The sequence below is a fragment of the Homo sapiens genome, chromosome 18 (assembly GCF_000001405.40).
Source record: "Homo sapiens chromosome 18, GRCh38.p14 Primary Assembly".
NCBI lineage: Eukaryota > Metazoa > Chordata > Mammalia > Primates > Hominidae > Homo > Homo sapiens.
The window spans coordinates 51,463,831-51,479,975 of record NC_000018.10 but is presented as its reverse complement, the minus strand read 5'-3'; the positions used below and the strand labels follow the sequence as shown (position 1 = coordinate 51,479,975).

Below are 16,145 nucleotides of genomic sequence, written 5' to 3'. Positions count from 1 at the left end.
ATCCTAGCACGTGGTTGCTATGACCCTCTAGCGGACAACATCATTTAAGAGCAGGGACCTTTGAATTTCCAGCACATTGCGTAAGGCTGAACACCTGATAAGGCTATAAGTTGACAATTTTGCTCATTAAATTGTGGCCTTTCCCCCTCTAAGAACCTCGCTTTTAGAACTACAACTATTTCCCTCTCTTTCCCCAAATGAACCTACTGTATGACGGCCAAGGCCATTTCAGTGAACACACAGTTGTATAACAGTGTGTTGGGATCTCAAAATTGATAATATAGTTCATATAAGTTATATGCATATGCACTTATATTTCATTAAATCAGCTTGATGTGAGTTTAAAGCATAACTAGTTTCCCAAAACTCATGCTGTTCTCATACCAGTTATCTCTCTGGTTCTTCCTTTAGCCTAGACCCTTGGGTTATTTTCTTTCTTTCATGGTCATCTTGAGGTAGAAGGTGGAACTCAACTCAGGAGGTGACACTCAACTTCAGAGGCAGGACTTGGACACTGGAGCAAAGTGAGGACTAGCTAAAACAGGGACAGGGCAGAAGTAGCTTTCCATAAGACATGCCCACCAGTGTGCCATGGCAATTTACCATTTCCATGACAACACCCAGAAGTTGCCATCCCTTTCCATGGCAATGACCCAACAACCTGGAAGTTAGCACCCTTTCTGGAAATTTCTGCATCTGCCCCTTAATTTGCATATAATTAAAAGTGAGTATAAATATGACTGCAAAACTGCCTTTTAGCTGCTACTCTGGGAGCACTGCCTACGGGGTAGCCCTGCTCCATAAGGAGCAGTACCTCTGCCGATGCTGTACACTGCCACTTCAATAAAAGTTGCCAACACCACCAGCTCGCCCTTGAATTCTTTCCTGGGTGAAGCCAAGAACACTCCCGGGCTAAGCTCCAATTTTGGGGCTCGCCTGCTCTGCATCAATCTTACTTCCATCTTCCATGTGAAGATGTACTCAGAGAAATGTTCTGACTTTCTCCTGTTCGTGGTTTATTACACTCTCCTGGCTTCCCTGAGCAGCCAGTCTCCACCAGCAATTCTCGAATTCCTCTTGGCCCTCCTTTTCTCTCCTCCTCTCTTCCCAGCCCCAGCACCCTTGGGAAGCCCAGATCCCTCACAGCTTTGTTCACCAGTGTCACCTTCCAGGCCTCCCCACTCCACACCCTTCCTACTCCTGTGTCTTCCCTCATCCAGAACCAGAGGCCCACCTCTGAGCTTTCAACCCCTAGTAACTTTTCTCCTTGTGCTTTCCTTTATCCACATGGGAGCATAAATGAGCTAAGCCAGGTTTTTGTAGGCAAGAGCCTGCTCTGGCCTTCAGAGGTGCCCTTGCACACGAAGCAACGATGCCACCACTGGCCAGGTGCAATCAGTGAAAATCCATAAGAGCAATGTTCTTTCCCTCTGACTTATGCTGTGTTTAAAATGAGGAAAGGGAGGAGGTACAGTGGTCTTGCTGGAAACCCAAGATCTCATCAACTTATGACGTTCACCTTGTATACAAGGGTCCCTAAGCCTGCAGGCACCACAAGGGAAGATGGGTAAGGCTGCTTAAATAACAGTCCACCAGAACCAACTGCTGCTCCTCTCTGATCCACAGGCTTTGTTGCAAGGTCTAGATTACTCTACAGAAAGTTTCTCCCTTTACAGTCAAATTTCTCCAGGAGACACCGTTTTCCTTCTTCCCATGATGCTTGCCCAGTGGTCCTACCCCTCCATACCCGCATTATTCCTCTTCCACAACCAATGGAAGGGATTCAGTTTATCTTCAGCCCAATTGCGAGCAGTGTTTATGTTGTTGTGGTCAGTGTTGTTGCCATCGTTGTTTATCCTGGAGGCAACACCACAAATGTAAATGCCTCTCAATGAACTCTCAATTCCCAGGACTCCAGCCAAAGCAGAGCTGTCCCCCAAATCTCACGTCATCTAAGTAAATAGGTTTTCTGCTACAGAGTAGATTAAAATCAACTTCAGAAATTAATACCCTTAATCATCCAACTCTCATTTGACCCTAGTTTGGGTAGTATTCTTGGAGGACCAGGAATCAGAGCAAATTATTTTTTGGAGATAAATTCACTGGTAGCATTGTCCAGTTTTGAGCTAGAGTGTCTCACATTTGATCATTTTTCATCCCAAGGAGATACCGCAATCTCAGTAAGAGCTTAACTCAATTGCATTGCATCCTCCTCCTCCTCCAAGCAAGTGCATTTCTCAAGGCCAGATGCCCATTACTAACACTGACTCCACATGGGAACACATCCACCCCACAAGCAATAATCATTATTTCCTTCCCTAAGAGCTGTGTCACTGTCAGACTGATCTTTGGTTAGGCATCACCAAGACTTAAGAACCAGAAGCAAAATCCCAACAGAAAAAGTTCAGTATCTGAATAAACAATAACTGTATAACTGAAAAACTGTTCAAATAGTTGGAACAAGTTTATTGCTGAGTTATGCAAGGCAGAAGGAAAAAAGACTACAGGCTTATTTCTTCATTACTAAATTCATTTATAAAATGCTGAACATTAAAAAATATGTATGTTATTCATTGATTAAAGATATGAATTCAACCAAAGTTCTATTTGCAGAATTTGGAAATTAGGATTTTTTATGATATGAGAGGTAATAAAGGTTAATGCCAGCAGTTACCTTAAGGAATCAGTATTTGGGTGGCAAGAGAAGGAAGGAGTGGGGGATGTCTGGTATCTTTGTCTCAGTGCTTAGAAGCTGATTACCAGATGAAGATTTATTAAGAAAGTTCTCCCAGGGAAAATCAGTAAGGAGGTAGACGCGAACATTTATCTACCAACTGTAGATGACTTCAAGTGCAGTTTTTTTAAAAAATGTGTCTAAGAGCCTTGCTACACTAAATGTGTTCCTTGACTAACAACATTGGTGACACCTACAAGATTGTTCAAAATGCAGAATCTGGGATTCTACTCTAGGCCTTCTGAAGCAGAATCTGCATTTTGCAAAGTTCTCCAGGCAGTTAGAATGTACATTAAATTTTGGAAAGCACTGCCTTATAGAAAGCTAGATACAGTGGGAAATAGCCATATCAGGTAGCTAGTGACATAATACCAATTGTGAAAATTCAGACAGATGAGCTGACAAATTCCCAAAAATAGCAAATTAAGCCCTTTGACAAATTAGTTATTGGATCATACAGAAATAGCCCAAATCTGCAAATTTTGGATTAAAATTGTGACCCTATTTTTAAAAAGAGAAAGCTAGTAGATACAGCTACAGTCTAAAAAGAACAGAGATGAACGTCTACTGCCAGAGACAGCCATTAGTCAATTGATATGTACACATCTTGTTTAAACTTCTGTTGTGAATAATAAATAATTACCTGTTAAAAATTTATTTCTCCTAGTAAATAATGAGCTCTGAGAGACCAGAGACAGTGATATGTGAGCTATTTCATAAAATCTTCCAACACATGTCTACATAGTTGAGGTTCAGTAAACATTTGTATGTGAGTGTCATTTCTTGATAAGACTATAAAACCAGTGAAAATGAGTATTTCAAAAATTAAACAATATGTACTTAAGCAATGACACTAACAGTTAATTTCTTCACCAAACTCTCGTGAGATATCTACCATGTTGCGAGCATGTGTCAGGTGCTATGCATTCAAAGACAAATAAGATGCCAACTGGCCTGGGGGGGAGGGGACAAGAGTTTAGTTAGGAGATAGATACATCTGCAGGGAGTCTCAGTATCATGTGGTAAGATCTGTGATGTATGAATGGAGTTTGAAAGCAAATTTAAGGGACTCCAAACTCAAACTGTGGCAGAGGGGTAGAAATCAGAGAAGTAACTCTGACCTCAGACATGCAGGATTAAAATACGACTAGGAACACAAAAAGCAATCGGAGGAAGGTATTTTAGGTAGATGGAACAGCATGAGCAGAGAAAATCTACAGCTCATATACCGAACTAGGAGTACTTCAGAATAGTTGGACTGTGTATGTGTGATAGGGACTGGCATGAAATAAGCTGATGAGAGAGGCAGGAGCCAGACATACAGGGCATTATATGTTGGGATGGAAGCTGGTGATCATCATACTCCCCATTTGGGACCAAGGTGCTGGGAGTGTTGGCTCCTGTTGGCTACAGCTGGGTCCCTCTGTGAGCATTAATTGCTTCATCCAAAGGGAGCCAAACCCAAGATTAAGGCCTCTTCTCAGGAGGCAGTCCCACAACCAGTGACTGGTGGGTGACTACAAAAGTTTTTGCCCATTGCTTTAATGCTAGATAACTGTGAAGGGTCAACTCAGTCCACCAGCTCCCTGTGGGATCAGCTGAGGCCTCTATTGCAACTACTGCTTTGCAATTCATTCAATTCACTGCCCAATTCTGCTTCCTCCCTTATTGATTTCATGCTCGAGAACAGTCCCCATCTCAGCATATGCTTCCTGGGGAATTTAATCTGACACTATTGTTATTAGCAATGATCCTAGGAAGCAAACTTTAAAATGAGATTTTGGAGCTGGATCACCCACCAGCTGGCTGAAAATGAGAACCCCATCCATGTTTATAGGGTGAGTACTGATAACCTCTGCCACGGCGTAGTGGTGCAATCGTTAGAACTCTGACTGGTAGTAACCCGGGATACAGTGCCAGTGGAAAGAAATACATGAAAAGAGTGCTGAGAGAAATAATATCTCAGGTTCAGCTCAATTTACGGGCTTGAATTTTATCCCACAGACAGTGAGAAACCACTGAAGAATTGTTTTAAATCATCTTCTTAATGGTTGAATGAAGAATGGATTCAGAGAAAGCTTGAGGCTAAAAAATAAATTATAATATTATTATAGTACTAGAAGCTAGAAATGAACCGCAAGGGATAGTGGCCTCTCCTGGAGATAATTACACTAAGTCTTGATTGCCATTGCTAGGCCAGAAAGGACGAGGGAGGGAAGAAAAGTTACTAGAACCCAGAGACAGACAGGGCTGTGTGAAAAGGACTGCCTGGCAAACACCTTTGATTAAGGGGCACAGCTGGCATGTAGTAAGCCCACAGAAACAGAGCTAGGGCCATAAATACTCCAACATCATTCTCTTCACTCCCTACAAGCTCCTGGTGCTTGCCATGGGCTAAGCCCACATGAAACCCAGAGGGCACAGAGACCTGTTGATACTGTCCATAGAGGCCAGCCACCCAAAGCTCAAAGTAGAGAGAAGGGTGAGAGTGGATTTGGGAAAACAAATGAAGGATACTCGGCACTCCTATATGCAAAATAGAGGCCAAAACACACAAAAGAAAGGAACCCAGAGGAAACAGAGGCAATACACAAAGAGAAAGAAACCATCATTATTATCTTCCTAGAGGTAAGTGAAGACATTGGATGCATGAAACAAGAAAACAGTACAATTTTTAAAAACTCAGAAAACAAAAAGCTCTTAGAACTCAAATTTTGTAATCATCAGAGGCCAGGAAGGGTAGCAGGGAGGGAAAAAAATATGAATGTATTTATTATTACTGAACTGTATACTTAAAAATGGTAAATATAGTAAATTATATGTGTATAATTTAACCTCAATTTAAAAAGTTTTTAAATGAAGTTAAATTTTGATGGCAAAAATAAAAATTAAGTAGAAAGACTAAAGAATAAAGTTGCCACAGTTATCCAGAAATTAGTGAAAAGACAAAGTGATAGAAAACAGAAAAGAGAAAATTAAGGACATATCCAGAAGTCCCAAAATTTGAATAACAGAGGTTGTATAAAGATAGAACAGAGAAATGGAAAGGAGAAAATCATTAAGAAAATAATTCAAGAAAATTTCCCGGAACTGAAAGGCATAGATTATCCCATCAAAAAAGCCCACTGAATTTCCAACACAGTGGATGAAAGTAAACTGACTTCAAAGCACCAAGAATGAAAAAAAAAGATTCTACATGTTTTTTGGGGGAAAAAAGCAAGTTACATGCAAAGTCTAAGAGATGAACATGGCTCCAGGCTTTTCAACAGCAACATCAGAAACAATGCCTTCAAAATTATGAAGGAAAATCATTTCCAACTTAGAATTCTCTACCCAGCTAAATTATTAATCAAATATAAAGGAAAAATAAAAATATTTATATATATGAAATGTCTTAGAAATTTAACCCCTCATGTGCTCTTTCTCAAGATATGCTTAGATGGTGGCGATAGAGAGCCACAGAGTAAATTAAAACATTAGCAAATGCAGCAAAGAAAGAAATGAAGAGAATTCCCAGGAAGACAGGGAAGAAACACCCCAGAATGACTGCTGTGAATCAGACAGAGAGGGCAACAAGAGCAGATTAGAGCAGAGTAATTCAAGACATTGACAACACTAGCATGCCCCCTGTCATTGTATCATTGTGTTGACCTAAGAACAGAATGCCTGGGAGACTCTGGTCCAGATTCTAATCTGTACCTGTTTTATCCTGATCAAGTGCTAATGAAGCCCTCATTCTCCTCACATACCTATTGCATGGACCAGCTTAGGACACTCATTTTGTTCTACAGAAAAGTTCAGCTTTGACCTACCCCTAAGAGCTTAAAACAGGCCATGGTAATCTTTGAAGAAGAAAATACACAGCAGCCCACTTCCCATGCCTGTAATCCTGCTGGACATATAGTACCTGGCCTACGTGGGAGCCCTGCCAAATACTTCAACGAGGTAAGCCTGTGTTTCCAAGAATCTCTTGTGACTTTGCTCATTGACTGTCCTAGAAAGAATACCTGGCAACTCTTAGTCTCAGAGAATCTAAGACTCTTCAGTCTATCTTCTACTGAGAGCACTCATCTACTACATTCTGTTTGCACAATTGTATTTGTTCTTGCTACCAATTGTTTCAAAACTTAATAATGTATCTTTTAATAATACCTAACCAAGTGGCAAAATTATAAATAAAAGCAAGAGAATGATTAAAACAGAAATCTAGACAGTGGTTACCACCGGTTGGAGGAAAAGGGAAGATACACTAGTAAAGGGGAATTTCTAATTAGTGTAATAATTAAAAGAGTGTAATTGGATTGTTTGTAATACAAAGGATAAATGCTTGAGGGAATGGATACCTCATTCTCCATGATGTGATTATTCCATAGTGTATGGCTATATCAAAACATCTCATGTACCCCATAAATGTATACACCTACTATGTACCCACAAAAATTAAAAATAAAAATTTAAATAAATTAGTGTAATATATTTCTTAACATGAGTTTTAGATTATTTTTTAAATTGTACATATACATTGTACATTTTATATGATATTCTGTAAGTTTGGAACATTGAACAATAAATGAAAATTTAAAAAGAAAGGAAATGAAATCAAGAAATTTTAAATAGATGAAAACAGTAAGTGAGATCAGGCAGCAGATGAAGTCAGGGAGAATTCAAAGATGAAGTTTTGGCCATGGGACACAACTGTTAAGAGTAAGTCTGAAAATAAATACAAAGAAAATTATATACATTGAGATGGCAGCCCTATAGAAATTCAGGAAGAGGATATACAGTAGGCAATAGAAATACATGGGTGTGGAACTCAGCAGAGGAACCTGGGCTGAGAGAGTAGCTCTGGCAGAGTTAGGATATAGTTGGCAGTTGAAGCTATGACACTAGATGAGATTGCTTAAGAAGCATCTCAAATGAGAAGACAAAGAACACAGAGAACATAAAGATTTAAGATGTAATCAGAGAAAGACTTGGATTTCAAGTTCCTAGAGTTGAAAGTGGAGGTTAACAATTTAGTGATGGATCTGTCCTGCTTAGTGTCAGGCCTCTGAGCCCAGGCCAGGCCATTGCATCCCCTGTAACTTGCACGTATACATCCAGATGGCCTAAAGTAACTGAAGATCCACAAAAGTAAAAACAGCCTTAACTGATGACATTCCACCATTGTGATTTGTTTCTGCCCCACCCTAACTGATCAATGTACTTTGTAATCTCCCCCACCCTTAAGAAGGTTCTTTGTAATTCTCCCCACCCTTGAGAATGTACTTTGTGAGATCCACCCCTGCCCACCAGAGAACCCCCTTTGACTGTAATTTTCCATTACCTTCCCAAATGCTATAAAACGGCCCCACCCCTATCTCCCTTTGCTGACTCTCTTTTCGGACTCAGCCCGCCTGCACCCAGGTGAAATAAACAGCCATGTTGCTCACACAAAGCCTGTTTGGTGGTCTCTTCACATGGATGCGCATGAAACTTAGAACATTAGTTTTCATCTGATTTCTTTTTCTCAGAATATCTGCCAGTACATTTGTCCTCTGGGTCTTGGAAAGCTATGACCAATTGGTATGTAGGATGGAGAAAAACATGATAAACCAGGTCCTGGACCCTCTTCCTAAAGGTGTGATGATTCCAAATGTCTTGAGAAGTTCAACGAGAAGCCCACTAGTAGCAAATAAGTACCAGGCACAGGACCAAATGGGAAGATAAAATTCAGAGTTAAAATGAGCAAAGGTCAAGAAGAGAAAGCATACAGCCGGTGTCCAAGCAGACAGATTGAGTTGAGGATATCAACAAAAACAAGGAGTAAGCCTGCATTGACTTCATACTAAAATCAGCCAAAGAAAGACATTACAAGGAATATGAAACTGCACACCAATATACTCATAAACATAGAAACAAAAATCTTTAACAAAATATAGCAAATTAAATATATACATAAAGTATAACACAGCATGGCTGTACTAGGCATCTCCAGAGAAACTGGCCAGTAGAATATATACAGATATATAAGACGAGCTTTATTATGGGAACTGGCTCATGTGATTACAGTGGCCAAAAAGTCCCATGATGCACCATCTGCAAGCTGCAGAACCGTGAAAGCCAATGGTATAACTCAGCCTGGGTCTGAAGGCCTGAGAACCAGGGAAATCAATAGTGTAATTTCCAGTCCAAGGCCAAAGGTCTGAGAACCCAGGGCCAGAGGGGTCATGGGTTGGCAGGGTAGGGAGCAGCCACCTGTGTAAGTCCTGGAGTCTAAAGGCTCAAGAACCAGAAACTCAGATGTCTAAAGGCAGGAGAAGATGGATGTCCCAGCTCAAAAAAAAAAAAAAAAAAAAAAAGGGAGAGAGAGAAAATTTGTGCTTCCTCTGTATTTTTGTTCTATTTGGGCCCTTAATGGATTAGATGATGCCAGCCTACACTGGTGAGGGCAGATCTTCTTTGCTTGGTCCATTGATTCAAATGTTAATCTGTTCTGAAATACCCTCACAGACACATCCAGAAATAATGTTTTTCCAGAGCTGTCTGGATATCCCTTGGGCCTATCAAGTTGACACTAAAATGAACTATTACAATGGCCAAAAAGAGTTTATGAATGGAAACTGTCAGGCCTCTGAGCCCAAGCTAAGCCATCGCATCCCCTGTGACTTGCACGTATATATACGACCAGATGGCCTGAAGTAACTGAAGAATCACAAAAGAAGTAAAAATACCCTGCCCCACCTTAACTGATGACATTCCACCACAAAAGAAGTGAAAATGGCCGGTCCTTGTCTTAAGTGATGACATTACCTTGTGAAAGTCCTTTTCCTGGCTCATCCTGGCTCAAAAAGCTCCCCCACTGAACACCTTGCGACCCCCACTCCTGCCCGCCAGAGAACAACCCCTTTGACTGTAATTTTCCTTTACCTACCCAAATCCTATAAAACTGCCCCACCCCATCTCCCTTCGCTGACTCTCTTTTCAGACTCAGCCCACCTGCCCCCAGGTGATTAAAAAGCTTTATTGCTCACACAAAGCCTGTTTGGTGGTCTTTCACACGTATGCACATGAAATAAACAATAGTGATTTGAATTCAAAAATCAATCAATGAAATTCACCATATTCAAAAGACTAAAAGGGAAAAGTAATATGTCTTCTCAATAGATGCAGAAAAACTTTGGTGAAATTCAACACCCATTTACAGCAAAACACACATATACACATACACCCCCCTCAGCAAATTAGCAACTTGACAAATGGCATCTACCAAAAAAAAATGTACAGCCAACATTATATTTTGTGATAAAAAGCTCAACACTTTTTGTTTGCTAAGATAGCAAACAAGGCAAGGATGTCCACTCTCACCACTTCTGTCCCACATTATACTGGAGACCTTAGGCAGTACAATAAGGAAAGAAACAGAAAAAGACGTATACAGATTAGAAGGAATGAATTAAAAGTATTTGCAAGCATCATGATCATATACACAGAAATTCCTAGAAAGTCTACAAAAAGATCTAAAAGTGAGCTTAGCAAAGTCTCAGGATACAAGGCCAATATACAAAAGTTAATGTATTCAATATACTAGCAATAACCAATTAAAAATTGAAATTTTAAAACATACCATATATAGTATCATGCAAAAACATTTAAAAATTAAGAATAAATTTAGCAAAATATATACAAGACGTGTAACTGAAACCAATAAAACATTGCTGGAAGAAACTAAAAAGACTTAAATAAATGGAGATTCATGCCATACATAGGGATTGGAAGACTCCATATGTTAAGACATCAATTCTCCTCAAATTAATCTACAGATTTAATCATATCTCAATCAAAATTCTAGCAGCATTTTATAGAAATTGGCAAATACTCTAAAATGGAAATGCAAATGCAAAAACCGTGAATATCAAAATAACTTTTAAGGAAAAAAAGGTTAGGAGACCAGGTACATTATCTGATATGACAACTTATTATAAACCTAGTATGCAAGATAGTGTGGTATTGTGGGGGTGGGGAAGATTTACAAATCAATAGAGCAGAAAAGTGTCCATAAATAGAACGACAAATACATGGTAACTTGGTTTTCAACAAGGGTGCCAGGGAAATTCAATGAAGAGAAAGGATAGTGTTTTCAATAGCTGGAGCTGAAGCAATTAGATATCCATATGGATAAAATAAACCTTGACCCTTACCTCGTACTATATGCAAAAGTTGATTAAAAATATATCATAGGTCTAAACATAGAAAATAAAACTTCTATTAAAAAAATAGGAGAAATCTTTGTGATGACCTTGAGGGAAGCCAAGATTTTTAATATAGAACACAAAAAGCATAAATCATAAAAAGAAAAAAAGACAAATTGGACTTTAAACTCTTGTTTACTGAAAAATACTGCTGAAAAAATGAAAACGTAAAGCACAGGCTGGGAGAAAATATTTACAATTTACATACATGGCAAAGGACTTGTATCCAAAATATATAAAGAACACTACAACTCAATAAGTCAAACAATACAATTTCAAAATGAGCAAAAGACACTTTACAAAATAAGCTATTTGAATGACCAATGAGCACATAAGAAGATGCTCATTATCAACAGTTACCTGGAAATGCAAATTAAAACCACAATGAAATATCTCTGCACATCCACTAGAATGATTAAAAGTGAAAGGACTAATAATACTAAGTGTTGGTGTCCATATGAATCAACTAGAATTCTCATGCATTACAGGCAGGAGTGTAAAACAGGACAACCATTTCAGAAAGTTTGGCAGTTTCTCATAAATGTAAATATATACATATTACGTGATCTAACAATTCCCATTCCAAGGTATTTGCCAAAGGGAAATGAAAATATATGTCCATGCAATGACTTACACATATGTTCATAACAGCTTTATTCATAACAGCCAAAAATCACTGTGAACAATTGACCATTTCAAATCTGAATGTATTATTTTCACTAACAAAGGGATAAAATCAATATGTTTTCCTTGTAATTCTGATTCCTTAGAGAAGTCCAGCTATCTTGTGCAGGATCTGGATTTTATGAATTAAAAAAAAAATTAAAAATACATTAATAAAAATTTTTTTAAATTTAGCCATCTCTAATTTCTTGCAGGATAAAGAAACTCTTTGAAGACAAACATTACACCTTATTTAGTTTTATATCCTTCATACCTAGTTTAGTGCCTGGCACAGAGTAAATGCTAAACAAATGTTTCTTGGTCATGATACAATTTAGCACTATTTTAGGTCCTTCAAAGGACATAATATTACTTTATCACAATGTTAGTATGATTTAAAACAGACATATTTTCCCTTTATCCTATGTCAGGGGCTCTATAGGAAGCTCTCAGCAGCCACATCTTCCATACGGGTTGAAGTTGGCCTTGCTATAGTAGCTCTGGCCCCAGGGGTCAAGATGAAGTCAGTCTTTCCTCTTCTAATTGCCCTTGGCTAAATCTGGGCAGTCATAATTGAGGAAAATATTAAGCATTATAATTCCAAAATCAAGAGCGTTCTAGATCAAGTTTTAAAAGTAACTGGCCGGGCGCAGTGGCTCATACCTGTAATGCCAGCACTTTGGGAGGCCAAGACTGGCGGATCACCTGAGGTTGGGAGTTTGAGACCAGCATAGCCAACATGGCGAAACCCTGTCTCTACTAAGAATACAAAAAGTAGCTGGCTGTGGTGGCACACACATGTAATCCCAGCTACTTGGGAGGCTGAAGTAGGAGAATCGCTTGAACCCGGGAGGCGGAGGTTGCAGTGAGCCGAGATTGCACCACTGCACTCCAGCCTGGGAGACAGAGTGAGACTCCATCTCAGAAAAAAAAGGAAACTGTAAGGTCAATTCTTTCCTCTGATTTAAGAAACATTTTACTGCTGGTATAGGGTGCCTCATGAAATGAGAAAAAAAAAAAAAAAAAAAAAAAAAGAATTTGTTTCCTAGCTCCTCCTAGTCATATCATTAACGTCAAATTCAGCCTGATTGAATATGTAGTATAACTTGGGTGTGATTCCAGACTTAATTTCCAGCCATTATTAGGTAGTTAAACATTATAAACTTAAAATGGCAACAGGAATTCTATTTCGATCTGGCTTTACATCATGATTGTCAACTTCATCTAAACTCAAGAAAATCAAAAGTACATTCTAAGCAGGGTGCAAAACAAAAAAAAAATAATATTTAGAAAAAAATTATGTTCACATAAACACCAGAGCTGTTTCACACCTTTGTTTCCTATCAAGAAGTGGTTTGGAATGTCAGCAGGTAAACACATTTAATTGTTTCATCCATTGCAACTAAGAGAGTCATCCCTTAATCATAGCTGTTCTTGTAAAGGCAATAAAAGTGCCAAAGTTCAAAAAAATGTTTTAAGATAAGATACATGCTCAAAATTCCCCTGGGAAGATTAGAGGTCATTATCAAAATAAAAATGAGCTATAGTTTTCCCAGAGCAATCGCTACATTGTTTATTCCTTTCACTTTCTGGTCTCTTTTATCATAATTGCTGTTCCTTGCCTTTGAGAGGATGTTGGTGCAGGGCAAAAAAACTCCAAAGAGCCTAGAAGTTCTTCCCTGCAGATTTTGCAAGTTTTAGTCACTTGTTTCTCAAATAATTACATCTTATAAAAGACACAGCCATCTTAACTTTCTGGAGGTTAGCTGAAAAGTTACAGGCACACTTAATTGCTACAGGAAAAATGCTTTGGAAGAAAGATGTGTAGACTGTATTTTGATATATCACACTGGGTTCCACTCTGAGCTCTGCCTCTTATTGTATGACCTTGGCCAGATGGCTTAGCCTCACTGAGCCTCAGTTTCCTTCTCCATAAAAATATTGTTGTTAGGATTAAGATCTAGGTAAAGTAATGATCTGTGCCACAGTTGACTCTTAACAAAAGTACCTATAAAAGGATGAGAATGACTGATATGATCTCTGCCCTTCCATGAGCTTATATTCCTTCAAAGATCCTGGAGAACTGTTATTTAATGGGATGGTAGGGAAAGATCAGTAAATATTTAGGTCTCTGGGTTTGAAAAAAATATATTAAATGCCCATTTAATCAATCAACAAATTTCCAGGCATATATTCATTTGCATGTATGTCCTTCCAATTGGACAGTAATCCTTAAGGGAACTTTTGTCTTTGTGACCCCAATACCTGGCATCCAGGAGGTCTCAATAAAGATTTCCTAAAATAAGTAAGTCTGACACTGCCTGAGACTCAGTGCAGAAAAAGAAGGCTAAAAATAGTTCTTCGTCCTCCAGGAATCAATAGTCTAGAGTTGGAAAGGGCAAAACAAGTGTGGACTGGACCAGGCTGGAAAGACTTTGCAGATTTTCTCAGCATGGATTACCTGCAGAAGCATCCTTGGGGGCCTAGTGTGGAACATGAGAGTCTCACTGAAAAGTGCAGTTACCACCCAATACTGACTCTTTGGGACTGAGGCTCCTGAACGCAGCAGATACGTGAGGAAGCTTTAAAAACACTGACCTAGAGAACCACAGAATGAGCCAAATAAAACCTCAAGCCTTTCTTAGCCAAGCACTTTATTTTTCAGGTGAGGATGTGAAGACCTAGAAAGATGAAACGATTTCCCTGGGGTCACACAGAAAATTTAGACCTCAAGACCCTTGACTTCGAGTTTTTGCTATTTTTGCTATTCTGTGGAGACTTTTCTCTGTTCAGGAAAACTCCTGCGATGAACTGCATTTCTGCAGCCTGGCTCCTCCACCCGGTCCAGGAGCCACTTCGGATGATTTGGTAACTCCACGTCCACGGCTGCTTTTTCAAGACACTTTTTTCCTTGGCATTGGCGTCAGCATTTTCGGTCCATCTATGGGAAAAATGCTAGTGATATTCCCATGTTAATAATTTCAGCTACAAGAAATAAAACAGCGGATTGAGTATTGCTTCTTTACTTTAGGGAAAAAAAGTGTCTCCGTGTTTTGATTTATTCTGTTTCGTTTTGCGCGCGCACACACACACACACACACACACACACGACATCCTGCCAGCCTGCCTCTCCCTAAACCATTCATGCACTTTTACTGTTGGTCTTTGTTCCTGCTCTCTCCTTGGCCTCTCTCTAACAGTCTTCCCTAACTCCCACTCCACCTGTTTCTTCCTCTACTCAACCATCAAGGTTTCATTTAAGGATTACTCCAGTCATAACAAACAGTTCTTTTCTCCAAGACCCCAGACTCCAGATGTGCAGCCTCTGCCTCTGTGTTATTTCTCAGATCCTTTACTCCAATGCTGTTCAAGCCACCTTCTAGATGGCCAACCTCCAGGAAGCAGGAACAAGATACATCCTTTTATTTATTTTTTGTTTTTTGGTTTTTTTTTTAGTTTTCCACTAAAAATCACAGAATAATATTGATAAAAAAGAAAAGTCACAGGCTTGGAGAAATTATTTACAGTTTACATATATGGCAAAGGACTTGTAGCCATAATATATAAAGAATGCTACCATTCAATAATAAGAAGTCAAACAATAGGATTTTGAAATGGAAAGGGTACACAGCTGCTAGCATTAGAGCTGGGGTTCAAGGCAGGTACATTGGGTTCCCAAGCTCCTGCTGTCCTCCCAGCCTCTCTGCTCTGCTGCATGGGCCTCCCTGTTCTTGATGCCCTCTCCTGCCTCAATCTACTCCATCCTGCCTACCTCCCAAACCTGAATAAAAGTTTGATAAATAAAGAGAGAAACAAAAAATCCTTTCCTATTTGTATACTTCACGATATTTAGGGCCAGGCGCAGTGGCTCACACCTGTAATCCCTGCACCTTGGGAGGCCGACTTGAGGTCAGCAGCTTGAGACCAGTTTGGCCAACATGATGAAACCCCATCTCTATTAAAAATACAAAAATTATCCCGGCATGGTGGCGCACACCTATAGTCCCAGCTACTCTGGTGGCTGAGGCAGGAGAATCGTTTGAACCTGGGAGGCTGAGGTTGCAGTGAGATGAGATCATGCCACTGCACTCCAGCCTGGGCAACAGAGTGAGACTCTGTCTCAAAAAAAAATTTATATATATATATATATATATATATATATATATGGAATTAAGTAAATTATATATTAATAATTACATGAGTGAAGGAATAGTTAAAGGGCAATAAGAGAATTCAACTAAAAAATATGTCTATTATTACTTTAGGAAATAATACTTGTGAGCTTTTTTTAAAGTAAGATAATAAATTTTTAAGAAAGGTTAACCAGGTCAACAGAGCAGCCAGGATTTCAGGCCCTTAGGCAGAGCCTCCGTGATGCCACAGGGTGAAGAGGAAGAATGCAGGAGGACCACCTGAAAACACCAGACAGCTGGACGGCTGTGACTCCGCAGCATTAGGGAAATAGACAGCTGGACGGCTGTGGCTCCACAGCATTAGGGAAATAGACAGCTGGACGG

The 16,145-nt window shown here is 39.4% G+C and overlaps 1 long non-coding RNA gene across 2 annotated transcripts in view; it reads right to left on the bottom strand.

The window, feature by feature from the left end:
* LINC01630 (long intergenic non-protein coding RNA 1630) overlaps window positions 1-16,145 on the bottom strand; it is a 170,428-nt gene that overhangs the window by 82,494 nt on the left and 71,789 nt on the right. The window contains exon 2 of one of the 2 annotated variants that reach the window (NR_040075.1): window positions 11,598-14,569. The exons of the other annotated variant lie outside the window; for it this stretch is intronic. This is a non-coding gene — a long non-coding RNA (long intergenic non-protein coding RNA 1630). Of the gene's footprint in view, window positions 1-11,597; window positions 14,570-16,145 lie in introns of those variants that run through there. 2 annotated transcript variants of the gene reach the window in all.